Source organism: Homo sapiens, chromosome 7 (genome assembly GCF_000001405.40).
Source record: "Homo sapiens chromosome 7, GRCh38.p14 Primary Assembly".
Lineage (NCBI taxonomy): Eukaryota > Metazoa > Chordata > Mammalia > Primates > Hominidae > Homo > Homo sapiens.
This window is the reverse complement of record NC_000007.14, coordinates 16,677,839-16,689,988: the sequence shown is the minus strand read 5'-3', so window position 1 is coordinate 16,689,988 and position 12,150 is coordinate 16,677,839. Positions and strand designations below refer to the sequence as shown.

General features: G+C 37.2%; 1 protein-coding gene across 7 annotated transcripts in view; it reads right to left on the bottom strand.

The window, feature by feature from the left end:
* The window catches only part of BZW2 (basic leucine zipper and W2 domains 2), a 60,337-nt gene that overhangs the window by 16,529 nt on the left and 31,658 nt on the right, over positions 1-12,150 (bottom strand). For 5 of the 7 annotated variants that reach the window (NM_001159767.2, NM_014038.3, XM_006715707.2 and 2 more), the window contains exons 4-7: positions 8,585-8,688; positions 7,144-7,209; positions 3,949-4,084; positions 83-192 (exon numbers count right to left, since the gene is read on the bottom strand). In NM_001159767.2, the coding sequence (NP_001153239.1) occupies positions 83-192; positions 3,949-4,084; positions 7,144-7,209; positions 8,585-8,688 (416 nt within the window). The remainder of the gene's footprint in view (positions 1-82; positions 193-3,948; positions 4,085-7,143; positions 7,210-8,584; positions 8,689-12,150) is intronic. The other 2 variants (NM_001362718.2, NM_001362719.2) reach the window with 1 other exon arrangement.

Sequence of the window (12,150 nt, the reverse complement as noted above, 5' to 3'; positions counted from 1 at the left end):
TACTCATATACTACATTGCAGGCATTGCTTAAGCTCCAAGAAAGGCATCATACATACAACTCTTTAACCAGAAAACACTTACAAGCAGCCTCTTGTCTAAGTTGGCTTTTCTCAAAGACGAGGTAACAGAGTTGGCATCTTTTTCTGCCATCCATGCTTTGAAAAGCTTGACAGCAAATGAGGCCGCAATGCCTGTTGAAAAACAAAAGAGAATTTCATTCCTTTTACGAGCAAAACCAATTGTGATGGTGTGCAAAGCAACCAGGTTTCCTGAAATGTGTAAATAACTAAAAGACTAATTTTGGTACAAATGAAAAGTCAATAGACCTCTAGGCAAATTCTCCTCTTCTCATTACTCAAACTAGAACATTTTCAGGAAAAGGAAAATAAATTAAAATATTTTTCAAATTTGGACTCCTTGAATCCAACCTGGTCTAACTGCAAGTTTATTTTATTTTACCTTGGTCAAAAACATATTTCACACCCAGTATCTTTGGTGTTATTGCCTTTATTTCACCCTCTGGTTCATATGTATTTCATCTTTATAACAGTGATCTTGAGGCACAAGAAAGTAAATTAGGAGACACAAAACTGTAATGTCACCTTTATCAAGTAATTTGCTAATAAAGGATGCCAGTACAAGAACACTGATAGTGATAGATACAATAAGTATTGCTACGAATAGATGAACACATATCATTTACCTTAGTTTTGCTTTTTATAAAAAGCATTTTATTTATTTATTTTTATTTTTATTTTTGGGGGGATGGAGTCTCACTCTGTCGCCCAGGCTGGAGTGAAGTAGCACGATCTCGGCTCACTGCAATCTTCACCTCCTGGGTTCAAGTGATTCTCCTGCCTCAGCCTCCCAAGTAGCTGGGATTACAGGCATGCACCACCACACCCAGCTAATTTTTGTATTTTTAGTAGAGACAGGGTTTCGCCATGTTGGGCAGGCTAGTCCTGAACGCTTGACCTCAGGTGATCCACCTGCCTTGGCCTCCCAAATTGCTGGGATTGCAGGCATGAGCCATTGCACGCAGCCATAAAAAGCATTTTAAAATATTCTTGAGTTAAGCTATAAAAATACCAAGGCTGTTTCAAGTTAAACTCTTCTGGATTTAAAAAAAAATCATTATTAAGCTAGTTATGTTAAATCAGGAAACCATTTAATCACATGTCCACATTTACATTACCACTTATTTCCAAATAGAAATAATCAGATAACAAGAAGACAGTTCTATGAACACTTCAAATTTCTAAATTTATGTTGCGGTTATTTAATGAAGAGTTAAGATGTAACTGAAACATTTAACTGATTTTTCTAAACTGAAGGTTCTACTATTGTTATGAGCTAATGATAATGTGGCCTAAGCAGCCTCTATTCTCTTTACCTCCTTCCTAAAAGAGGTCCCCTTTTATCCAGTCCAGGTGACTACTGATTAGTCTAAGTCCTGGTACCACCCCTTTCTGATGATTAATTTAGTGACCTCGCTTAAGCTCATCTGCCCAAGGCACGCCCCTGGCAATTGCTACTGGACCTGCACTAGTCATGCAGCCTGTGTCAGCCAATCAGCTGAAGGAAAGATAAATTATCCTCTGTTCAGGAGAAGTGTTCTTCCACTGAACCTGAACCAGGAAGAATATGCCATAACTGTGTCAGCAGGCATCTTATAACAACTAGAGGGGGCACCATCCTTGGGATGAAGTTAATGCTATGAATGATAACAGGAGAAAAATACTTAAGTCCTGAATGATACTGCTGTTCAGCCTGAGGTCTGTCCTAATTTTCTATTTATTGTTACATAAGAAATCCATGTCCTTATATACCAATTTGACCCAGGTCTTCCAGCAACTGGAAAGTAAAAGCATTTAATTGGTCTATCATTCATATAGACACCAACTAAACCTGATTTTCTTCCCTTGAATAAGCAAAGAAACTAAGTTAAAAAAAAAACAAAAACGGCTATAACAACAAAACATGCATTACACCTTAACTGAAAGTTCATGTTAAACAACTTAAGATGAATTTTTAGCATTATCATTAGCTCATAAAACCAATATAAAATTTAATATAAATTAACACTAGGCTGTAATCTGTATCGTAAAGAAAAACTACGCTTGAAACTAGGAGCCTAAAACTGAGATTTAACTTTCTTTATAGTTACTCCTCTGAGTAGGATAATCCCATCTCCCTTGGTCATTTATTGGATGAGCTGGGGAAAATGATTAATTTCTTAACCATTTTCTTTATTTCTTTTTTTTTATTTTAGATAGTCTTTCTCTGTTGCCCAGGCTGTAGTAAGATGATGTGATTATAGCTCACTGTAGCCCCAAACTCCTGGGCTCAAGCAATCCTCTTGCCTTAGTCTCCTGAGCAGCTGGGATTGTACAGGTGTGCCAACACACCTGGCTAGTTTTTAAATTTTTTTTTGTAGAGAAGAGAGTCTTGCTTTGTTTCCCAGACTGGTCTCAAACTCCTGGCCTCAAGCAATTTTTTTACCTCAGCTTCCCAAAGTGTTAGGATTACAGGCATGAGTTACCATACCCAGCATTTTCTTAATCCTTTTCCAATTAGGAAGCAAGGGTTTAAACCTCTAGTTTGTAAAAGATGGCAGAGTTTAAGGAAAAGCCATATAACAGAGGTACTATGTTACTTCCATAGCAAAGTTATTTTTCTCCTCACCACCCCCCAAACATTTTACTACAATAATTTCCAGACATACAGAAAAGTTGAACAAATTGAACAATGAACATTCACATGCCCACCATCTAGTTTCTATAACTAATATTTTGCCGTATTTGCTTTATCAGATATCTATCCACCTAATAACGTAATTTTTGGATATATTACAAAGGAAGTTACAGACATCACTTAGGTTTTTAAAAAAACTAGAAAGGCAATTATTTTCTGTTATGTTGGCTAGGATAATTTAAAATAATTAATGATTAACATTTATATTCTATGTTGACTTTCTGTGTGCAAAATGGCTAATAGCAAAAATAAGATGTGTGTTGTATTGTGAATTTTCTTCAGGGAAATACTTTAAAATGTCATAATACTAATAACATCTAACAATTACAGAGTCTGAATTGTCATAAATCTGAGTGATTTTAAGCTAAAAACTAGGAAGAGTCTCTGAATAAGACCAATTGACTCTCAATTTACTATTCTTTCCTTAGCTACAAGAAAACTATGACTCCTTTCTTTCACTATAGGCATGAATGAAGCTAGGACTTCATATATGTAGGAGGAAAACTTTAAGTTCTCAGAAGAAACAGATGTTCTCACAAAAGCTCTTTTAATTTATTTTTAAGGAAAAATAACTGTTTTGTGTTGCATTGTAATTTGACTATCATTATCCTCCTACAAGTAAACAGCCGACTTTTATTTTATTCTATAACCAAACCATGGTATGCATGCCTATCCAACCCTTAATGCCTTAAAATTAAAACAAGACTCCTTCTAATGCAGCAGACTTAAAATTGTTTTCTAAAACTGAGACAATGAGTATCTTAAAAAGTGCAATCAAAATGAATATCTGAGCATCAGTTTCTCTAGACCTTGAGAGGGGAACAGTTTTTGTTCTTATAATAGGGGTGAAAGTTAAAGGCTGCCATTTTGTGTCGAAGGGCAAAAAGATTACCAGATCGATTTCGGGGTATTTGACCTAGGCATCAAGTCTTCCATGAGATTTTAATTTGCTATTAGTCTTTCTTAATATGTCTTTGTACAGGTGTGCATATTTTTTCCTTCAAACTTCCTACAATTAACAAGTCCACTCCTTTTATTATTTGAAAGGCAATATACACCCATACAAAGATATTCTCTTAAATGAAGAATGAGTAATAGAGGACACCAAAAAGAGCCACTGGCATTTTTCTAACTATCTGTGACTTTATTTTTCTTTTGTTGTCTGACAGGCGAGAAAACAGGAGCCTCGTTACCTTCTTTGACTAAGCTGTCGGTGAAGAGACTGGTGAGGATGGTGGCGGGCAGGGTGCCATTGCCCAGCAGAATCCCCGACAGCATCGCCAACTTTGTCTGCTCTGTTTCGGAAAAGGCTTTAAGGAAGAGGAGAAGCTGTGGGTCAAAAAAAAAAAAAAAAAAAGAAAAAGAAAAAGAAAAAAAAAGGAACCATGTCTATGAAGCAAAGGACTGAAGTGGGAAGATAAACTGTGAACATCCATGGCTACGTGGCACACAAACAGAAGGTCATATGCAAAGCATAGTAATTCATTTCATGATAAACTGGATGCTGTGGAAAGTGACTTGAGCAGGCAGAGTTCCTTTCTTCTCAGTTAATTTACTCACAGCTGTAGATAACATTCATGGAAAGGAAAAGAGATATTTGGATGATATGTAAACAGATGGATTTATGTTTGACTATGTGCATGCAAGAGAGTTAAGTATACATGATGGACATGTTTTCTGAAATGTATTGTTTTTCAAGTTTTTCCACTTCCTTGGGCGACTACCTCTTCCCCTGCTACATGTACCCATTTTCTCTGAATAGAATTTGTACGGCAAAAACATAGAAACAAAAAAAAGCCCCACACAAACAAAAAAAAAAAACAGGAAAGAGTCGAAGTTAAGCTTTTGACATTTAATATATACTTTTCTGAGCTCACGGAATACAACAGTCTTCAAAACAAGACTGTTGAGGGAGAAAGGGGTTTTCTAGGTTCTTGATGTTTTTTTGGTAAACTTTTAGATTCTCTTGCCCCAGAGGCAGGGAACTAAAAAAGTAGCAACCCTAGAAAATTTGAATGTAAGCTCAAAGCAAATAAAACGAAAAACCCACTTCCTGTATTAAATTCTAAGAGTAGTCAGCCCTGTGGGATGCCCTTCTCTCTCCTGACTCTCCTCTGCTTTGTGCTTTGACTACATTCTACTGTTACTTTCTCCATTTCAGCAGTTATTAGGCTTGCCATGGAAATTCCTCAGGGGCCACTATCACCACAGGGGCCTTGCTGATTTTCCATTATTTTGCGCCAATGCAAAATTCACTGGCATTGATAGAGACTTAAGTGTCTCCACCCTGATGACATGATTATTCCACTAACTGTGTAGGGGATAAGAAAATATTAACTTACTATTCCCCAAGAATTGAAGGATTATTATATTATAGACTATTTACATTATGTGAAAGTGGCAGAACTGGAAACAAACCAGTCCATTTGCCTCTCAATTTATACCTATTAAATTCTCAACAAATTAAAAAGAAGTTAACATCTAAGTAAGTGCCAGGGAGTGAGGGAATGAGGGATTGAAAGGCTTAAGTTCCAAGGAGCATCAGAAATGGGGAAGAATGAAAGAACTAACATAAATATAGACAGTTCATGTCAATTTGTCCTTTTCCTCCATTATAAAAATAAATAACATTTAAACGAGAATAATAAAAATTAGCCTCTAAAATAAAATTTTAACACCACTTCTTTAAGCTCACACATATAACCATATTCATTTAAAATATACTTAATCACATAGAAATGGTACAAAAATTAGATCATCATAAAAATAATAACCACATTGCTCAATTATATTAATCAACATTAAAACATAATTACATGTATACACACATATTGTTTTTTACTGCATTATATGCTAATGATAGCTAAAACTTGTTGAGTGGACCAGACACTCTTCTGATCCCTTTATGTGTATTAATACCTACAACAGTCTCCATCTCCAATTACAGAAAAGAACACTAAGGTACAAAGATATTAAGTAATTTGCCCCAGGTCAAACTACTACCAAATGGTTGCTTTGCACCTCGCATTTCCACTTAATTTGTCATGGGCATTTTCCCTTATTAATACATGTAGTTATGCCTACAAGTATAAAAGACTGCATAGTATTCCACTGTATAGATAGATTGTAATTTAATTAAACAGTCTTCATCTCCCACCAATGAACATTTAGGCTATTTTTCAATACTGTGGTGACATCTTCATACATATAGCTTTATATATCCATGCTAATGGATTCTTATAAATTCATGACGGCTGGGTCATGGGTCATGTAAGAAACATTTCTTTTAATGACTATTGCCAAATTGCTCTTCAATATTATACACAGAACCACTTTGAACTGGGTGGGGTGGGGTGCAGTTAGGTGGGGAGGAGCGGGGAGAGTAAGTAAGTAGGGAAGAAGTAAGTATATGTTATGGTTACTTTTTTCACTTGGTTTTTTACTTTAGATAGTTATCTAAAATTGGAAGCAATGACAAAGTAACAAACAAATCTGAAACAAGTAAAGGTAGTGGGTGCCATATATAAATACAGGAGTTACAAATTGGAAGAGGGAACATGCAATTACTCAAAAGAGGACATCTTTAAGGAGATGCTACTGTGGATTTCACTGATGAGAAAGAGTATTGAGAATTACACCTATATACTCTATCTCCAAAGAGGTGCTTTTATTCCCTTTGCTAAACTGCATACAATTAAAGAATTTTGCTGAACATTAGCTGCTGTGCTACATTCTTCCATAGGCTTTAACTACTTAAATCACTTTATCTAGTTTTCATTTTAATCTCTGCAAGGTCAGAGGTTATAGCCCGTAAAACTATTCTTACTGAACAAAGCACACTGTCTTACATTAAATATTAATGGAAAAAGTCCAGAATAATCACATATTTCTTCCTATAGCTATTAGCTAATGATCTTTCATACTTATTTACCAAACATGTATTAAAAACTCACTATGTGTTTCACATACATGTTATTACATATATGGCACTTCTGCAATATCATTGTACATGTAAAATTTTATTTTATTTTATTTTTTGAGATGGAGTCTTGCTCTGTTGCCCAGGCTGGAGTGCAGTGGAGTGATCTCGGCTTACTGAAGCCTCTGCTGCCCAGGTTCAAGCAATTCTCCTGCCTCAGCCTCCCAGTTAGCTGGGATTACAGGTGCATGCCACCATGCCCGGGTAATTTTTGTGTTTTTAGTAGAGACAGGGTTTCAGCATCTTGGCCAGGCTGGTCTTAAACTCCTGACCTTGTGACCCACCCGTCTCGGCCTCCCAAAGTGCTGGGATTACAGGCGTGAGCCACCGTGTCCGGCCACTTATAAAATTTTTATCCACCCCCATGTCATTACTATAAAACAGATAGGCATTATATTTGAATTTTTACCTTTTTCATTTCATCTTCAAATGCCTTCTCCAAATACTTATATCTCCTGATGAGTTTATTGAAGACCTAAAAAAAAAACAACCATTAAATATTAGGTCAACCAAAAAGACACAGAAGTAGGTAATAGAAACTCACTATAATGACACCATAGATCTATAATAATAAAAGTGTATAGTTAAACAGGCTCACACTGTAATATAAGAACTATAAGCATTTCAAAGATGCTATCATGACCTAGGGGAACAAATATGATCAAAATGTACACGTAAGATAAAACAAATTCATTCAAGAATATAGCAGGTAGAAAAAAAAATTCGACGAAAATAAAATAAATGTGATTTTTAAACTGTGAGATGCAGAGACTAAAAATCACGGAAATGAAGGTGTTAAAGATATAACCACTTAGACAACGATGTGATGGGGAGGAGAGCAAAGTGCAGGACAGATTCTACTCTAGGTGGACAACAAACATGTTTCTAGCAGATGAGCAAAACGTGTTATAATTTACTGGCAATAAAGGATGACTGGCCCCTACAGTCCTGTTAGAACTCTGAAGCAAAGTTTGCAACTGTATTAGTAAGATTCTAGACAGTTTTCTAAGTGGAATGATGTTTTTATGTAAATGAGGATTTTGTAAATATTGGTTATTTTAATAACTGTGGAAATGATTTCTTAATCTAGTTCCTTTTTCTCCTACACACAGGCTATATTCCTACTTACAACTCTTGGTGTATTCGTTTCCTAATGTAATCAAGATGGAGTCCAAGAGTAAAAAATATGGTTGCCCTTTATGGAGAAAGAATGACTCAGGCAGGGAATTAACACACAATAAGAAAAAGAAATAAATTGCATTAAAATCCCATAAATTTTATTTCCAACTTACACTAATACTTACATATTCCTTAACATGTATACAAGAAAAACGAATTCTCCTGATCCAAGAATAAATATTTAAATTCCCACAAGAGAGGTTAAAAAAAAAGCATTATATTCTTGTAGTTCTTTTTGTTTTGTTTTGAGATGGAATCTCACTCTGTCACCAAGGTTGAGCAGTGGCACGATCTCAGCTCACTGCAACCTCCGCCTTCTGGGTTCAAGTGATCCTCCTGCCTCAGCCTCCCAAGTAGCTGGGATTACAGGCACCCACCACCACACCCAGCTAATTTTTGTATTTTTTAGTAGAGATGGGGTTTCACCATGTTGGCCAGGCTGGTCACAAACTCCTGACCTCAAGTGATCCGCCTGCCATGGCCTCCCAAAGCGCTGGGATTATAGGCTCGAGCCACACTGCTAGGCCTATTTTTGTAGTTTTAATGCCCATTATTTTCATAAGTTTAAAGGCTTTCTAAGATTCCTATTTAAAAAGTGGGTGGACTGTAGAGCTTCTATAGAGTTTTCCTCAGTCCTCTTCAAATGCTTCAGTCTCTCAAACAGGCTCTACCTGAGCATAGTTTCGGATGGTTTCATGATCTTCATTTGCTGAAAACACACAGTGGTTGGTCATCTTGGTCTTGTCACCATCATCTATGCGCGTTCCTCCAGGGGCTAAAAAGAGAAAGGTAATTGTAATTAGGATAATACTGAAATTGAGAACAGCATTTGCAGAACACATCAATTCTGGCAAATGAAAGAAAATAATCAAAGTAGATGTAAAATCTAAGAGTCACATAAAATTTCAAAGAATGACATGTATGTATAGATGTACACACGTTGCTGTACATTTTTTCCTTTTTTTTGAGATGGAGTCACACTCTGTCACCCAGGCTGTGACAATTGTGCAATGGCACAATCTCGGCTCACTGCAACCTCCACCTCCCCGGTTCAAGCGATTCTCCTGCCTTAGCCTCCTGAGTAGCTGGGATTACAGGCATGCACCACCATGCCTGGCTAATTTTTATATTTTTAGTAGAGACGGGGTTTCACCATGTTGGTCAGGCTGGTCTCGAACTCCTGACCTTGTGATCCGCCCACCTCAGCCTCCCAAAGTGCTGGGATTACAGGTGTGAGCCACTGCACCTGGCCTATTTTTTTATTTTTATTTTTTAGACAGGGTTTCGCTCTATTGCTGGAGTGCAGTGGTGCAATTATGGCTCACTGCAGTCTCAACCTCCAGGGTGCTCAAGTGATCCTCCTGCCTCAGCCTCCCAAGTAGCTAGGACCACAGGTGTGTGCCACCATGCCCAGCTTATTTTTTTGTAATTTTTGTAGATACAGGGTTTTCCCATGTTGCCCAGGCTGGTCTTTAACTACTGGGCTCAAGTGGTCCTCCTGCCTCAGCATCCCAAAGTGCTTGGATTACAGACGTAAGCCACTGTAGTTGGCCTTGTATACTTCATGTTTCTAATATAATACAAATTAGTTGTTTCATTCATACTCCCACCATAGTGTACTTCATTTTTGTTCCACATCCTTGCCTTCACTACATCCTGTCACTATAAGTCTGGTTCTTTCCAAAGTATATTCTTAATCATGGAAGCAAAGAACAACATTTATTCAGTAAATTTTTCAGTAAATATTCAGTAATATTCAGTAAATATTCTCAATGCAACTCCAAACACTTCCCACTCCAGGACATAGTTCTTTCTTCAGGCTTGCTAACATTTTGCAAGTATTTTGCAGATACTCTACCTAGATCACCAACTACAGAACTGACCAGATCTGACTCATAGAATCTTTTTGCCTTCTACTTGGGTAGCTATTACAATTGCTCCCTCCTTTGCTAACCCAGTTACCCATGACTGGTTGAATAGCATGGACTCCGATGCTTGCTATTTGAATTTGATCGCCCAGCTGCTATGTTGGCTAGAAGAAATTATTTTATTCTCTCTCATCTTTTTTTCCCCATGGACTCAATAGATTAGATGCCTTTTTCTTCAATAACTTTCCATATTCAAAGGGTCCTCCTGTAAGTTTCAATGGTAGCCATTAGAAGCATTAGTTGATTAGAAGAGCAGAATGAGAACATTAGGAATTTTTATTTTCTAATTTTACTTCGTTGTAATTAAGGTAGAAGGTTTGGGTAGTTAGATTAATATCTTTCATATACACAACAAATGTTTCTAGTGTATATACTTATACCAGCTACTGTGCTAGGCACCAAGGATACAATAATAGTCAAAGCTGAAAAGACAAACACTCTCTACTCATTAGCCACTCCCTTTATTTGTTTGAGTATTAGTGTATAATCACCTTGATTTAACTTGTGATTTCAGATCTCTGGATTAAAAGGGCCACCCATAGCCACCTTTCTTAGCAGGCATAGGCAAATGAGAATTCAATCAAGTTATACTTTCCTTAGCTTATCATCCCCTCTATGGGCTTCAGACTTCAGCATACAGTTTAGTAAGTAAATTAGTTTTTGGAGAAGTCAGCCCCTTCAAGAGTCTATTTTCACTCAATTAATTTATGCATGAGATTTAATTAGCCCTTTTAAATGAATATAACCACCTGGAACTGTTGCGGGAAGTCAGGGAACCTGAACGGAGGGACCGGCTGAAGCCACGGCAGAAGAACATAAATTGTGAAGATTTCATGGACATTTGTTAGTTCCCCAAATTAATACTTTTATAATTTCTTAAGCCTGTCTTTACTGCAATCTCTGAACATAAATTGTGAAGATTTCATGGACATTTATCACTTCCCCAATCAATACTTACGCAGTTGAAGATAAGGGATGAAATACACCCTGGTCTCCTGCAGCACCCCCAGGCTTGTTAGGATTGGGAAATTCCAGCCTGGCAAAATTCTAGTCAGACCAGTTGTGTCTGCTCTCAAACCCTGTTTCCTGTTAAGATATTTATCAATGACAGTGTGTGCCCAGCGGGACATGGACCTTCATCAGTAATTCTAATTTCGCCCTGGCCTTGTGATCTTGCTCTGCCCCCATCTGCCTTGTGATATTTTATTGCCTTTGAAGCATGTGATCTCTGTGACCCACACTCTATTCGTACACTGTCTCCCCTTTGGAAATCGCTAATAAAAACTTGCTGGTTTTGCAGCTCAGGCCGACACGTGATGTCACCCCCCGAGACCCAGCTGTAAAATTTCTTACTTTTGTACTCTTTCTCTATTTCTCACACCGGCCAACACTTAGGGAAAACAGAAAAGAACCCACGTTGAAATATTGGGGGCTGGTTCCCCTGATATGGAACAAACTTAGATAATGATCTTCTAAAAACTCTGGGCTAATTATTGCTATTGCTTTTGATAGAAATTATAAAACTGAAAAGTTTGATATTGAAACTACAGACTTTTGAGAGGTATGTTTTTTAAAGTTACATTGTTTAATGAAAGAAAACACTTATTACATATTAATAATATTGCTACATCTTGCATTAAAATTTTTGCTGATATTAGGACAAAGTATTGTTTGCCATTTCTAACGTTTTTGGAGTGACTGCTGTTTTTCTCAAGGTAGAAGTGAACTTAATACATTTATTGTATTTACTATACGAAGGGTAATATTGAAAGACCAAGATAGCTGCTATTTTAAGAACAATGGGGCCGGGCGTGGTGGCCCATGCTTGTAATCCCAGCACTTTGGGACAGATCACCTGAGGTCAGGAGTTCGAGACCAGCCTAGCCAACATGGTGGAAACCCCATCCCTACTAAAATTACAAAATTAGCTGGGTGTGCCGGCACACGCCTGTAATCCCGGCTACTCGAGATAATTGCCTGATTCCAGGAGGCGGAAGTTGCAGTGAGCCAACACTCCAGCCTGGGCGACAGCATTAAAAAAAAAAAAAAAAAAAAAAAAAGAACAATGGAAGAAGGTAAATTGTGAGTGTCAGGAAAATTTCTACATAATAATTAAACAAAGCATTTATGTAAGAAGAATGCACCTAGCTGGCTTCAGTCCTTACGTCACATGTCCGGACTCAGTAGACATCTGGTGTTGCATAGCTTATACCAAAACGTTTGGCCCTATGTTCTTCTTGAATGTATAGACATGCAGTGAAGAAGTGAAATCTGGGCTGCACTAACCAATGGAAATTACTTAAAACCCT